Source organism: Homo sapiens, chromosome 10 (assembly GCF_000001405.40).
Source record: "Homo sapiens chromosome 10, GRCh38.p14 Primary Assembly".
Lineage (NCBI taxonomy): Eukaryota > Metazoa > Chordata > Mammalia > Primates > Hominidae > Homo > Homo sapiens.
The window spans coordinates 68316010-68331550 of NC_000010.11; the positions used below are offsets into that span (position 1 = coordinate 68316010).

General features: G+C 42.2%; 1 protein-coding gene across 6 annotated transcripts in view, besides 2 other annotated features; it reads right to left on the reverse strand.

The window, feature by feature from the left end:
* The window catches only part of PBLD (phenazine biosynthesis like protein domain containing), a 50269-nt gene that overhangs the window by 33350 nt on the left and 1378 nt on the right, over positions 1–15541 (reverse strand). The window lies entirely within an intron of this gene.
* Positions 14412–14581: an enhancer, noted in NCBI's record as "experimental_16557 CRE fragment used in MPRA reporter constructs". NCBI's record gives its function as "activates a minimal promoter by MPRAs in K562 erythroleukemia cells, with activity observed for both the introgressed and non-introgressed 10:70090263 variant alleles {active_cell/tissue: K562}" and the evidence as "EXISTENCE:reporter gene assay evidence [ECO:0000049][PMID:34662402]".
* Positions 15225–15534: an enhancer, noted in NCBI's record as "active region_3461". NCBI's record gives its function as "activates an Ori minimal core promoter by ATAC-STARR-seq in GM12878 lymphoblastoid cells {active_cell/tissue: GM12878}" and the evidence as "EXISTENCE:reporter gene assay evidence [ECO:0000049][PMID:35858748]".

The following is a 15541-nucleotide window of genomic DNA, read 5'->3' on the forward strand; positions in this document are numbered from 1 at the left end:
AATCTGATTTCCAGAGGTACCACAGTATATTATCTAAAATTTCCAGATTTCAACAACAAAAAAGAGGTGTATATAGAAACAAGAAAGTATACCATACAAAGAATAAAGAGTAGTTAATAAAAACTGTCCCTGAGGGAGTCCCAATGTCGGGCTTACTAGACAAGAACATTAAATCAGCTGTAGTTAAATATGTTCCAAAAACAAAAGGAAACCAAGTCTAAAAAACTAAAGCAAAGTATGAGAAGCATGTCTCATCAAATAAAGAATATTAATAAAGAAATTATTTTTTAAAAGAGAACCAAGTAGAAATTGTAGAGATTGAAAAGTATAACAATGGAAATGAAAAATTAATTAGAGAGGTCCAACAGCAGGTTTAAGCAAGCAAAAGAAAAGGCCAGTGAACTTGAAAATAGGTTAATTGAGATTATTCAGTTTGAGAAACAGAAAAAGGAATGAAGAAAAATTATAAGAGCCTCAGAGATCTCTGGGACATCATCAAGTATACCACTATATGCATAATGAGAGTCCCAGAAACAGAAAAGAGAAAGTGGCAGAGAAATTACTCGAAGAAATAAATGGTCAAAAACTTATCATATTTGATGAAAAACATTAATCTATGCAGCAAAGAAACACAGCAAACTCCAAGTATTATAGAATTAACTCAAAGAGACAAACACCTAGACACACAATAATCTAACTGCAGAAAGAAAATGACTGAATTGGTGGGGTACAGTGGCTCATGCCTGTAATCCCAGCACTTTGGGAGGCTGAGGAGGGCAGATTGCCTGAGCTCAGGAGTTCGAGACCACCCTGGGCAACACAGTGAAACCCTGTCTCTACTAAAATACAAAAAATTAGCCAGGCATAGTGGCGTGCGAATGTAGTCCCAGCAACTCGGGAGGCTGAGGCACAGGAATCGCTTGAGACCCGGAGATGGAGGTTGCAGTGAGCTGAGATCATGCCACTGCACTCCAGCTTGAGCTACAGAGTAAGACTCCATCTCAAAAAAAAGAGAAAACAACAGAATCTTGAAACCAGCAAGAGAGACATAACTCATCATGTAAAATGGACCTTCAATAAGATTAACAGCTGGTTTATCAGTAGAAACTATGGATGCCAGAAGGCAGTAAAATGATATACTCAAAGCAAGAATATAGACCAAAAGAACAACTGTCAACCAAGAATTCTATGTCTAGCAAAACTATCACTCAAAGCAAAGGTAAAATTAAGATACTTCCAGATAAACAAAAACTTGTTGCTAGAATTTGTTGCTAGTATTCCTTTTCTGGAGGAAGTATTAGTGGGAGTCCTTCAGGCTAAGATGAAAGGACACTAGACAGTAACTCAAATCAACATAAAAAAACAAAGAGCAACAAACATACAAATGGCCAATAAGCACATGAATGGGTACTCAAAATCACTAATCATTAGGGAAATGCAAATCCAAACCACAATGAGACATCATCTCACACCTTTCAGGATGGCCACTATCAAAAGAACAGAAAATGCCAGGTGTGGTGGCTCACACCTGAAATCCCAGCACTTTGGGAGGCCAAGGAGGGCATCCCCTGAGGTCAGGAGTTTGAGACGAGCCTGGGCAACATGGTGAAACCCTGTCTCTACCAAAAAAAATTACAAAAATTAGGTGGGCATGGTCATGTGCCTGTAATCCCAGCTACTCAAGAGGTTGAGGCACGAGAATCGGTTGAGCCCAGGAGGCAGGGGTTGCAGTGAGCCGAGATCACACCACTGCACTCCAGCCTGGGCAGTGACAGAATAAGACACTGTCCCATAAAAAACAAACAAACAAAAAAAATGTAGAGATTTGTTGCACAATGATATGAATATACTTATTACTATTGAGCTTAACTTCAAAATGGTTAAGAGGGTAAATATAATGTTATGTGATTTTTACCACAATAAAAAAATAAAGTAAGGCCGGGCACGGTGGCTCACGCCTGTAATCCCAGCACTTTGGGTGGCCAAGGTGGGCAGATCACGAGGTCAGGAGATCGAGACCATCCTGGATAACACAGGGAAACCCCGTCTCTACTGAAAATACAAAAAATTAGCCAGGCGTGGTGGCAGGCACTTGTAGTCCCAGCTACTTGGGAGGCTGAGCCAGGAGAATGGTGAGAACCTGGGAGGCGGAGTTTGCAGTGAGCCGAGATCAAGCCACTGCACTCCAGCCTGGGCAACAGTGTGAGACTCTGTCTCTAAATAAATAAATAAATAAACAGCACCAGTAGACCAGACAAGGTGGCTAGTGCCCATAATCCCAGCCCTTTGGGAGGAAGGTGAGAGAACTGCTTGAGGCCAGGAGTTCAAAACCAGTCTGGGTAACACAGCAAGACCCTGCCTCTATTAAAAAAAAAAAAAAAAAAAAAAAAAGCCAGGGATGGTGGCATGAAAGGCTGAGGCTGGAGGTTCCCTTGAGCTCAGGAGTTGGAGGCTGCAGTGAGATATGATCATGCCACTGCACTGTAGCCTTGGTAACAGAGATCCTGTCTCTTTTAAAAAAAAAAAAAAGACAACTGCATAAAGCAATAGTCATAAATCTATATTGATGCCCATAAAATGTAAAAAGATATATTTGAATGGCAAGAAAGTCACAAACAGGTGAGGTGGGAATGGAGCTATATAAGTGCAGTTTTTTTATACTATTAAAATTAAGTTTCTGTTAATCTAAACTAGATTGTTATAAACTTAAATGTTAAGTATGATTCTCCAGGCAACCATTAGAAAATGACTCAAAATATATAGAAAATGAAGTGAGTTGGGTGCAGTGGCTCACGTCTATAATCCCAGCACTTTGGGAGGATGAGGCAAGAGAACAGCTTGAGTCCAGAAGTTCACAGCTGCAGTGAGGTATGATCACACCACTGTACTCCAGCCTCAGCAACAGAGTGAGACTTTGTCTCAAAGAAGAAGAAAGAAAGAGGAAAGAAGAAAGGCAGGCAGGCAAGAAGGAAGGAAGTTAGGAAAGAAAGAGAGAAAGAAAGAAAGAGAGAGGGAGAGAGAAGGAAAGAAAGAAAGAAAGAGAGAGAAAGAAAGAAAGAAAGAAAGAAAGAAAGAAAGAAAGAAAGAAAGAAAGAAAGAAAGGAAAAAGAAAGAAAGAGAGAAGGAGAAATAGCAATGGAACACAAGAAAATATCTAGTTGGGACTCCACTGATGGAGAGTGAAAAAAAAAAAGGATGAAAATATCAAGTTACCATAAAAGAAGGCAGTAATGCAGGAGTAAAAGGAACAACAAAGACATGAGACATGTAGAAAACAAATATCAAAATAGCAGTCATGAACTCTACCTTATCAGTAATTACATTTAAGTGCTTAAACTCTCCAAACAAAGGGCAAAGATCGGTAGAATGGACTTCAAAAAGTAATCTAACTTGCTGGGCATAGTGACTCAGGCCTGTAATCCCAGCACTTTGGGAGGCCAAGACAGGTGGATTGCTTGAGGCCAAAAGTTCAAGATCAGCCTGGCCAACATGGTGAAACCCCGTCTCTACTAAAAATACAAAAATTAGCCAGGTGTGGTGGCATCTACTAAAAATACAAAAATTAGCCAGGTGTGGTGGTGTGTGCCAGTAAGCCCAGCTACTCAGGAGGCTGAGGCAGGAGAATCACTTGAACCTGGGAGGCGGAGGTTGCAGTGAGCTGGGATCACAACACTGCACTCCGGCCAGGGCGACAGACAAAGACTCCATCTCAAAAACAAAGAAAAAGATAAAACAAAACAAAAAACTGACTAAATGCTTTCTATAAGAGACAAACTTTTTAATTTTTATTTTTTATTTATTTATTTATTTTTATTTATTTATTTTTTTTTTGAGATGGAGTTTCGCTCTTGTTGCCCAGGCTGGAGTGCAATGGTGCAATCTCGGCTCACGGCAACCTCCGCCTCCCAGGTTCAAGCGATTCTCCTGCCTCAGCCTCTCAAGTAGCTGGGATTACAGGCATGTGCCATCACGCCCGGCTAATTTTGTATTTTTAGTAGAGAAGAGGTTTCTCCATGTTGGTCAGGCTGGTCTCAAACTACCGACCTCAGGTGATCTGCCCGTCTCGGCCTCCCAAAGTGCTGGGATTACACGCGTGAGCCACTCGCCCGCCTAAGAGACAAACTTTAGATTCAAAGACACAAATAGGTGAAAATAAAAGAGTGGAAAAAAGATATGCCATGAAAAAAGTAACCAAAAGAGAGCTGGAGCAGCTATACTAATATCAGACAAAATTGACTTTAAGACAAAAGTTGTTAGTAGAAACAAAGAAGGACATTTTATAACAATAAATGGAAGAATCCATCAGGAAGATAAGACAATTATAAACATATACACACCTAACAACAGAGCCCCAAAATACATGATGCAAAAACTGATAGAATTAAAAGGAGAAACAGGCAATTCAACAACAATACAGTGATCCCTTGGTATCCACAAGGCACTGGTTCCAGGAGTCCCTGTGGATATCAAAATCCAAAGATGCTCAAGTCCATTATATAAAATGGTGTGTATTTGCATATAACCTATGCACATCCTCCCATATACTTAAATCATCTCTAGACTCTTATAATACCTAATATGATGTAAATGCTATGTCAAAACTTGTAACAATATATTGCTTTTTTATTTGTAATTTTTATTGTTGTATTTCTCTCTTTCTTTTAATTTTTTTATTTTAATTTTTTTTTAATGGAGATGGGGTTTCACTATGTTGCCCAGGCTGGTCTGAACCTCCTGGGCCTCAAGCAATCTGCCCACCTAGGCCTCCCAAACTGCTAGGATTATAGGCATGAGCCATTGTGCTCAACCCCCTTTTTTTTTTTTTTGAGACAGAGTCTCGCTCTGTTGCCCAGGCTGGAGTGCAATGGCACGATCTCAGCTCACTACAAGCAACCTCTGCCTCCCATGTTTGAGCAATTCTCCTGCCTCAGCCTCCCAAGTAGCTGGGACTACAGGTGCGCACCACCACGCCCAGCTAACTTTTGTACTTTTAGCAGAGATGGAGTTTCACCACATTGGCCAGACTGGTCTGGAACTCCTGACCTCAGGTGATCCACCCACCTCGGCCTCCCAAAGTGCTGGGATTACAGGCATGAGCCACCACCCCTAGCCCCGACCCCTTTTAATATTTTTAGGGTTTTTTTCTTTTCTTTTCTCTTTTTATTTTCTTTCTTTCTTCTTTTAATATTTTTGATCAATGGTTGATTGAGTTCACAGATACAGGACCTACAGGTATGGAGAACTGACTGTAGCTGGAGATTTCAATGCCTACTTTCAACAGTGGATGAAACAGCTAGACAGAAGATCATCAAGGAAACAGAAGACTTGAGTAACACTATAAACCAACTAGACCCAACAGACGCCTACAGAACACTCCACAACAACAGCAGACAACACATTCTCCTCAAGAGCACATGAAACATTCTCCAGAGTAGGCCATTTGTTAGCCCATTAAAGAAGTCTCAATAAATGTAAAGGACTGAAATAATAAAAAGCATGTCCTTCAACCACAATAGAATGAAATTACATAACAGATAGGAAAGGAAATTTGGGAAATTCAAAAAAATGTGGAAATTAAACAACATTCTCTAGTAGTAAAAAGACCTGGAGCTTCCTGGAGACATGACTGATTCTAGCATAAGTGCAGGGAAAAGACCAGGTGAGGCTGGAATCTCTTCTAGTACTACAAAGTAAACCAGTACTCAAAAAAATAAATAAAAAGGAATACAGGAGTCAACCTGGAAGAGCTCCCAATGGCTGAAGCAAGAACAATTTGAGTAACAAAAGAAGCAACACGGTATTGGATTATAACCCAAAGATAAAATTAATATCCATAACCCATACTTACATAAATAAAAGACTACATAAATAAATGGAGGAGAAGAGACAAACTTCCTTACAGAATTCCAAATAGCTTATCTAGCTAACTACCTAATCTCCTTTCCAGGAGATGGAGCTTAACTTCCCCAGGACCCTGAGTATGGGCTGCTCTCAGTAACTTGCTTCCAAAGAACAGAGCATGGAAAGACAGTAAAGAGTAACTTTACAGTGGAGAAACCTAGCAAACACTACCTCAGCCAGGTGATCAAGGTAAAGAGTCATGTTATTACCATGTGAAGAGGATGGCACTTTACCTCTGTGGTTTTCCTCCCAAGAACCCATAACCCCTGTCTAATCCTGAGAAAAACATCAGAAAAAAACCCAGTTGAAGGATATTCCACAAAATACCTGACCAGCAGATGCTAAGGAGACATGATGACTAATGTAATGTGGTATCCTGGATGGGATCCTGGAACAGAAAAAGGACATTAGGGGAAAACTACTGAGCCGTACATAAAATTTGGAGTTTAATTAATAGTAATGGACCAGAGCTAGGCACGGTGGCTCACAACTGTAATCCTAGCACTTTGGGAGGCCGAGGTAGAAGGATCACTGGAGCCCAGGAATTCAAGACCAGGCTAGGCAACATAGAGAGATCTCATCTCGACAAAAAATTAAAAAAAAAAAAAACAGGCATGGTGGCACACACCTGTAGTCCCAGCTAGTTGGGAGGCTAAGGCAGGAGGATTGCTTGAGCCTAGGAGATCGAGGCTGCAATAAGCCATGATTGTACCACTGCACTCCAGCCTGGGTGACACAGCGAGACCCTGTCTCAAAAAAAAAAAAAAAGTAATGGACCAATGTAATTTCATAACTTGTGACAAATGTAGCATGGATGCTACCATCAATGTAAGATTTGTTTTGTTTTGTTTTTTGTTTTTGAGACAGGGCCTCACTCTGTTATCCAGGCTGGAGTGCAGCGGTACAATCATAGCTCACTGCAACCTTGAGAGGCTCAAGTGAGCCTCTCCATTAACTGGGACTACAGGCACACACCACCACATCTGGCTAACTTAAAAAAAAAATTTGTTAGCAGAAATGAGATCTCACTATGTTGCTCAGTCTGGTCTCAAACTCCTGGTCTCAAGCAATCCTCCTTCTTTGGCCTCCCAAAGTGCTGGGATTACAGGTGTGAGCCACTGTGCCAGCCAAATATAAGATGTTAACAGAGGAAACTGAGTGAGCCATATATAGGAATTCTATGTAATATCTTTGCAACTTTTCTATAAATCTACAACTATTCAAAAATCTAAAATTTTATTTTTTTTAATGATCTGAGGCCTGCCAATAGCCATGGGAGTGAGCTTTTAAGCAGATCCTACCCTAGTTGACCCTTGAGATAACTGAAGCTCCAGCTGACATTTTAATTATACCCTTATAAGAGACCCTAGGCTGGGCATGGTGGCTCACGCCTGTAATCCCAGCACTTTGGGAGGCCAAAGTGGGTGGATCACATGAAGTCAGGGGTTCAAGACCAGGTGGGCCAACATTGGGAAAACCCGTCTCTACTAAAAATACAAAAATTAGCCAGGCTTCGTGGAGCATACCTGTAATCCCAGCTACTCAGGAGGCTGAGGCTGGAGAACAGCTTGAACCCATGAGGCAGAGGTTGCAGTGAGCTGAGCACACCACTGCACTCCAGCCTGAGGGACAGAGTGAGATTCCATCTCAAAAAAGAAGAAAAAGAGATCCTGGGCTAGAAGCATCCAGCTAAGCTGCCCCAAGATTTCTGATCCACAGAAATTATGAAATAATAAAAGTTTGTTGTTTTAAGCTGTTAAGTTTTGGAGCAATTTGTTACACAGCAATAATAACTAATAGAGTATACTTCCTTTTATGTAGAATATTCAGAAGTATCCCCCACAAAAACACTGGGATAATTTGCATTCCATTTGTTTGATAGTTATATTCTTCACTGTAAATAATAAATTCTCATTCTAGTTTTTACAACAGATTCCACAGCAAATTTACTTAGCCTGAGGCCATCCCAAAAAACTTATTTTGAAGTATAAAAGCAAAATATATGTCAATGAATGCCAAATCTACATTCCTATCCAGATTAATTTCCTACTAGACACATTCACTCGGACAGTACATGGCATCTCAAAATCAACACACCCGATATTCCTGTATTTCCTATGTCAGTTAAAATTCTCAGCATCCAACCCTAAGCCAAAAATAATTCATCCTTGACTTCTTTTCACTCACCCATGCACAGCCTTTCTACTCAAGCACTAAACCCTGCTGATAAATAGCTCCTAATTTTCTTTTTTTTTTTTGAGATAGAGCTGGGACCACAGGTGTGCGCCACCATGCCTCGCTCTGTTGCCAGGCTGGAGTGCAGTGGCACGATCTGGGCTCACTGCAACCTCTGCCTCCTGGGTTCAAGCGATTCTCCTGCCTCAGCCTCTCAAGTAGCTGGGACTACAGGTGCGCGCCACCATGCCCAGCTAATTTTTGTATTTTTTGTAGAGATGAGGTTTCACCATGTTGGCCAGGATGGTCTCGATCTCTTGACCTCATGATCTGCCCACCTTGGCCTCCCAAAGTGCTGAGATTACAGGTGTGAGCCACTGTGCCCAGCCAAATATTTCTTAAAGAGAGCCTCCTGTATCTATCCCTAATACCATTGCTCTAGTTTAAGTATTCATCATCTCTACTGGTCCTTCTCCTAGTCTTCTCTCTTCTTACCCTCCCAATATCTACCCTCCACACTTTATTTATTTATTTATTTATTTATTTATTTAGAGACAGGGTGTCACTCGCCCAGACTGGAGTGCAGTGGCACAATCTCAGCTCACCACAACCTCTGCCTCACAGGCTCAAACGATTCTCCTGCCTCAGCCTCCCAAGTAGCTGAGATTACAGGCATGTGCCACTATTGCCCGGCTAATTTTTGTATTTTTAGTACAGACAGGGTCTCACCATGTTGGCCAGGCTGGTCTTGAACTCCTGACCTCAAATGATCCACATGCCTTGGCCTCCCAAAGTGCTGGGATTACAGGCGTGAGCCATCATGCCCAGCCAACTCTCCACACTTTAATCAGAACTATCTAATTAAAACACTACATCTGGGCTAGGTGCAGTTGCTCACACCTGTAATCCCAGAACTTTGGGAGGCCGAGACAGGCAGATCACGAGGTCAGGAGTTCAAGACCAGCCTGGCCAACATGGTGAAACCCTGTTTCTACTGAAAATACAAAAAGTAGCCAGGTGCGGTGGCAGGCACCTGTAATCCCAGCGACTCGGGAGGCTGAGGCAGGAGAATTGCTTGAACCCGGGAGGCGGAAGTTGCAGTGAGCTGAGACTGTGCCACTGCACTCCAGACTGGGTGACAAAACAAGACTCCGTCTCAGGGAAAACAACAAAACAAAACAAAAACCCACTACATTGGCCGGGAATGGCGGCTCATGCCTGTAATCCCAGCACTTTGTGTGGCCAAGAGAGGTGGATCACTTGAGGTGAGGAGTTTGAGACCAGCCTGGCCAACATGGTGAAACCCCGTGTCTACCTAAAAATACAAAAATTAGCCAGGCGTGGTGGTGTATGCCTGTAGTCCCAGCTACTCAGGAGGCTAAGGCAGGAGAATCACCTGAACCTGGGAGGCAAAGATTGCAATGAGCTGAGATCACGCCACTGCCCTCAAGCCTGGGAAACACAGTGAGACTGCATCTCAAAAACAATACAAAAAAACCCAAAAAGCACTACATTGATCATCAATCTTAAAAGCCAAGCTCCATAGGGTAGCACACAAACTTCTCCAAGATCTGGTTCCTACCTACTTCCTTATTTTACAATGTTTCACCTGCTTAGAGTTTCCACTTCTGCCGTTATTTTGTACATCCATGCCTTGGATCTTACTGCGTCCTCAACTGTAAATGCTTTTCCTATTTTTCATTGCCCCACTAAATTTTACTTATCCTCCAACACTTAACTCATGAGTTGTCTCCTTCAGAAAGCTTTCTCTGAAGCCCTAGACTGTGTGAATGGCCAGATTCTGTGCTCCCCAAACACTCTGTGCTTACCCTATTTTGTCACTTGCTACAGTTTAATGTAATTTATCTATGTAATGGAATGTATCTGTATGCTCTTGAAAGTCAGGGACAGGTTCACTTTATGTACGTGCATTTTTTTTTTAGCTCATCCAACATTATAGAATGTACTTGATTTTTCTGTTTTGTTTTGTTTTTGTTTTTTGAGATGGAGTCTTACTCTGTTGCCGAGGTTGGAGCACAGTGGCGCAATTTCGGCTCATTGCAACCTCCGCCTCCTGAGTAGCTGGGATTACAGGCATGCAGTATCATGCCCGGTTAATTATTTTTGTATTTTTAGTAGAGACGTGGTCTCACCATGTTGCCCAGGCTGATCTTGAACTCCTGATCTCAAGTGATCCGCCAGCTTCGGCCTACTAGAGTGCTGGGATTACAGGCATGAGCCACTGTGCCAAGCTGTACTTGTATTTTTTATGGATGGATGGAAACATATACTGACCTACTAGGAATTCAGTAATGCTCTCAAATCAATTTCCATTTATTAATAACAGCTGCATCTGCCTATATTGGAAAATCAGCAGCACATTACATCGGAAATATTATTTATTCTGCCCACAGAATAGTTCATATGAGTTACAGATTTCACTGGAATAATGTCCTGGCTCCCAATGTAGCTCTTAGGATACTGTACTTACTTTAAAAATTCTATTAAATTCACTGCTATTAAATGAGTTTAGCAGGAATGAACCAGATTCATTAACAATGCTAGGACAAACACAAATAAATAAAACAGCATGGAACTAGAATTAACATTATTTCAATTACTAATCTCCACCCCCTATATAATAACCTAACAAACCATTTTAGAGATTAAGAAACTGAGGTGGCCATGCACAGTGGCTCACGCCTGTAATCTCAGCACTTTGGGAGGCCGAGGCCAGTGGATCATGAGACCAGGAGATTGAGACCATCCTGGCCAACATGGTGAAACCCCATCTCTACCAAAAACACAAAAATTAGCTGGGTGTGGTGGCACATGCCTGTAATTCCAGCTACTCGGGAGGCTGAGGCAAGAGAATTGCTTGAACCAGGGAGTCAAGGGTTGCAGTGAGCTGAGATCGCGCCACTGCACTCCAGTCTGGCGACAGAGCGAGACTCCACTACAAAACAACAACAACAACAATAAAAAAAAAACTGGGGTTCAGAAAAGTTAACTGGTTCAGAATCAATTCACTGGTAGCTGGTGTCAGAACTGGGACTCCCTGATTATGAAGTCAAGTCTAAGTTTTGCCATTTACTTTTTTGGTAAACTTTGAAACACTACTTTATCTACTGGCTTTTTCATTTCTTGGTCCATGAAACAGTAACTTTGCAAGACTGCAGTGAAAATGAATGACTTAAAGTGTCCCTGCCCCCAGTGTGACCATCGTTATTTTTTGCAGACTTAAAAACATAGGTATATGAATAATGAGATCTATATTTTTATCTACCACCAAGAAGCTTAAAATCTGGGTGGGGCTGGGCGCTGTGGCTCACGCCTGTAATCCCAGCATTTTGGAAGGCTGAGGCAGGTGGATCATGAGGTCAGGAGTTCAAGACCAGCCTGATCAACATGGTGAAACCCCGTCTCTACTAAAAATACAAAAATTAGCTGGGCGTGGTCATGCATGCCTGTAATCCCACTCAGGAGGCTGAGGCAGGAGAATCGCTTGAACCCAGGAGCCAGAGGTTGCAGGGAACAGAGATCATGCCACTGCACTCCAGCCTGGGCGACAAAGCAAGACTCCACCTCAAAAAAAAAAAAAAAAAAAAAAATCACGTTGGGGGAAATGGTCTATTACTGTATTATCAATGCTGTATTTTCAAAGTTATTAATGTGCTTATGACACACTAAAAGCAGTACAATAATTTCATTTAAATTATTTAAGTAGCTATCTTTTTAAGCTGCTTTCCCTAGCCTTCACAGCAATTCACTGGAACAAAAAGAATGTTCAATTATTTTAATTATTTTCAAAAATTAGAGAAAGAATATGTTTAGGTGCTTTCTTCCTTTTGAGTTTTCATTTGTTTACTTAGTATAATTATTAAGATTGAACAGGCCTTTTGGTTGCCAGATTCACAAAGAACACTTAGGTGACTTAGAGAAACAAAAAAGTATCAAGAATATAAACTGTGTAATTCAGTCTTGTCTTGAGAAACAATGTTGAACCATAATAAAGGAGATTAGTGCTTTCTAAAGACAAGATACATAGGATATAAACCAAAGAATAAGCATTTCACAGTCTTACACAAATTTAGTGTTTAAAAGGCATTAACTACCTTAATTAGATGAAATTTAGTGGATTTTGTTACATTTTTTAGATTATTTGCTTTTTACATAGGCAAAAGATTATGATAATCCAGTTTTTATGGTACTTCACAATGCCACTGGGGATATGTGAACAAATATCTTAACCAATTTTTCGTTAATGTGCCTTCCCTCCCCCCGAAGAGTGTAATCTCTTTCAATTTCTTTTTTTCTCTCAGGCTCTGCACGGAATTTTCCTCTCCTCTTCATCCTGATGGTGTAATACATGATCACGTGTTTGTTGTCTTGTTTTCCTCTGGGTCACATGGGTACTTCTATTTCCTTCTCCTTTTTCATCTTTTCTCTCATTATGGTCTCTAACAAGATCCTCTCCAGGGTCCCTCTGATCTCTATGCTAATAGGAAAGCACTGGAATGATGAAAAGGAAGACAAAGAGAAAAAAAAGTCCCAAAAGCAGCTGGCAGTCCTTGGTTTTAACCATCTCTATGGAAACAATTCCACACAGATAGGTCTGGAAACAATTCTGTAGGGATCACTGGAGCAGTGGTGAGCCAGTCTCACCAAGCCTTATTTACAGGATTCAACTTGCAAATGAGAATCGTTGACAAGACTTTTTTTTTTTTTAAGAAAGGTAGTAAAATAGGAAGCCAAATAAAATGTACATTTATGACTATGTAGCGGTTTTGTTTGTTTGTTTGTTTGTTTTGAGACGGAGTCTCGTTCTGTCACCCAGGCTGGAGTGCAGTGGCACGATCTCGGCTCACTGCAACCTCTGCCCCACCAGGTTCAAGCAATTCTTGTGCCTCAGCCTCCCAAGTGACTGAGATTACAGGCATGTGCCACCACGCCCAGCTAATTTTTATAGTTTTAGCAGAGACAGAGTTTCCCTATGTTGGCCAGGTTGGTCTCAAACTCCTGACCTCACGTGATCCACCTGCCTCGGCCTCCCAAAACGCTGGGATTACAGGCGTGAGCCACCATACCCAGCCTATATAGTGTATTTTTTAACTCAAAACTTCCTACTGTAATAATAAAAAGGCAAAAGGAATGTGTAAACCAATTTCAAGTCCTTCCTGAGTATGCACACTGGCAGAGTGCCTGACCCAAAGAAATTATGGCAAGCAAGCAAGCAAGCAAGCAGCAGTTTGGTAGTGAAAAGTCAGTCATGTCATTAGAATGATTTTAAGATTGTGGCCCATAACCACACAAAATATGCGGAAGGAATGCCAAATTCAATTAGGCAGTAAAACAAATTGTTTGAATTCAAGCAAGGAGTGAAGGAGATTACAGAATTCCATCTGCCAAATCGGTTGAAAGACTGAAAGGATAGAAGTAGCCATGTAACTTGAACCCAGGAGGACCAAGGGAAGAACTCCATCAGAATTGTGGGAGCTTAGAGTCTTATTAATACAGCAATTTTTTTTTTAAAAGGAGGGAGAGGGGTTGGGACTCACAGTGTCTTGGGACTCACAGTGTCAGTGATAATGGGACTATAAAGTTTCAGGCCTGTTCAAAAAGTCTCCAGCCAATAAGCTAGTAACCACAGGTCTCCTGAAATGGTAACTCCAGTGTTAATTAGGCAACATAACCTCAATTTTCCAAAAATGATGTCTGTTTCCTTAAGTTATAGATAAGTTATTTGTAACCTCACGAAGGTTCATAGTGTTTTAAGACCCTGGCCCTTGGGTAAAACCCTATGGGCTCCAATTCTAGCTCTACCACTCAACTGTGTGACCTTGGGCAACTATTTTCACTTCTCTAGGACTTAGGCACTTCATCTGTAAAATGAAGATACTTATTTTTCAGGGTTGTAAGAGTACAGTGTGTAGCTTATGCTACACACTGTACTCCATTTGCTCTTTACAACCCTGAAAAATAAATATGAGCCATTGTTACTACAGCATCCTTGTTTGGTTTTCCATCTCTTTTAATGATGATAACACTGTCCTTTCTTCCTTCCACTGAGTATTTTTAGGGAGTGGGCCATTGGGGGTATGTGAGCATCATGACTTAGGGAATTCTTACTGCCCCACACTCGTCTTAAGCAGGTTTGAGGATGAATTAAAGCTTTGAAATGAAGTTTCCATTAAATGAAGGTAATGGAAACTTACCTGTCTCCATCCTACACACTGCAGATCTCATGGGAGAAAAAATTATACATCCTCCTACGTTGCTAACACCTCTCACCCTACCCCCAACAGGCTTCCCAATGTCTGTACCACAAAGTTGAAAGTCTTTTGGCCGGACATTGAAGATTGTCTACAATCTAGCTTCATCCACATTTCTAACATTACCCCATCTTCCTGACACCCCACGTATGTTCCTACCTTTGTACTTGAACTTGCACTGATTTTTTTGGGGGGGAAAGGGAGGTGGGACGGAGTCTCGCTCTGTCGCCCAGGCTGGAGTGCGGTGGCGCGATCTGGGCTCAATGCAAGCTCTGCCTCCCGGGTCCACGCCATTCTCCTGCCTCAGCCTCCTGAGTAGCTGAGACTACAGGGGCCCGCCACCACGCCCGGCGTGTGTGTGTGTGTGTGTGTGTGTGTGTGTGTGTGTGTGTGTGTGTGTATTTTTAGTAGAGACAGGGTTTCACCGTGTTAGCCAGGATGAACTTGCACTGATCTCTTTACCAGGCTTCCCCTTAACCCTCTGCGCAGAAATTCGGGGTTTTTCTTTGTGTTTGAGACAAGAGTCTCCCTCGGTCTCCCAGACTGGAGTGCACTGGCGCAATCACGGCTCACTGCAGCCTCAACTTCCAGGGCACAAGCCATCCTTTTGCCCAGCCTCCTGTGTAGCTGGGACTACTCGGGAGTCCCATCTACTCCCGTGCGCTGCCATCACGCCCAGCTAATCTTTGTATTTTTTGTAGAGACAGCACCTCACTATGTTGCCCAGGCTGGTCTCCAACTCTTACGCTCAAGCGATCCTCCCCCTCGGCCTCTCAAAGGCGTAAGCCACCGCGGCCAGCCTTTTTTGGAACTTAAAAAAAAAGCCATAATGTGTCATTAGGAACCTTGGTGACATGACAGCAAAACCAAAATGTACTTATTTATTAGGTGTCACTTGGAAGCGCAATTTTCAACAACGCAAAACTATAAAAAAAACCCAACGTCGGCCTCCACAGGCTAATCAGTCTCCGAGGCACTGACGGCGGGAGAGATGAAAACGCGAAGGCCAGAGGAGAAAAAGAGGAAGGATTTGCAGAGAGAACGGTAACGTGGTGGACATGAATACACCCAAGAAACCCGGATCCCGCGCGGCACATTGGGACGAAGCGCGCTGGCGGGCGGCCAGCAACTCTGGGCCAGGGGAAGGAGGCGGACACCCAGCCCGAGAGCCGAAATCGGCCCCAGTGGACGCT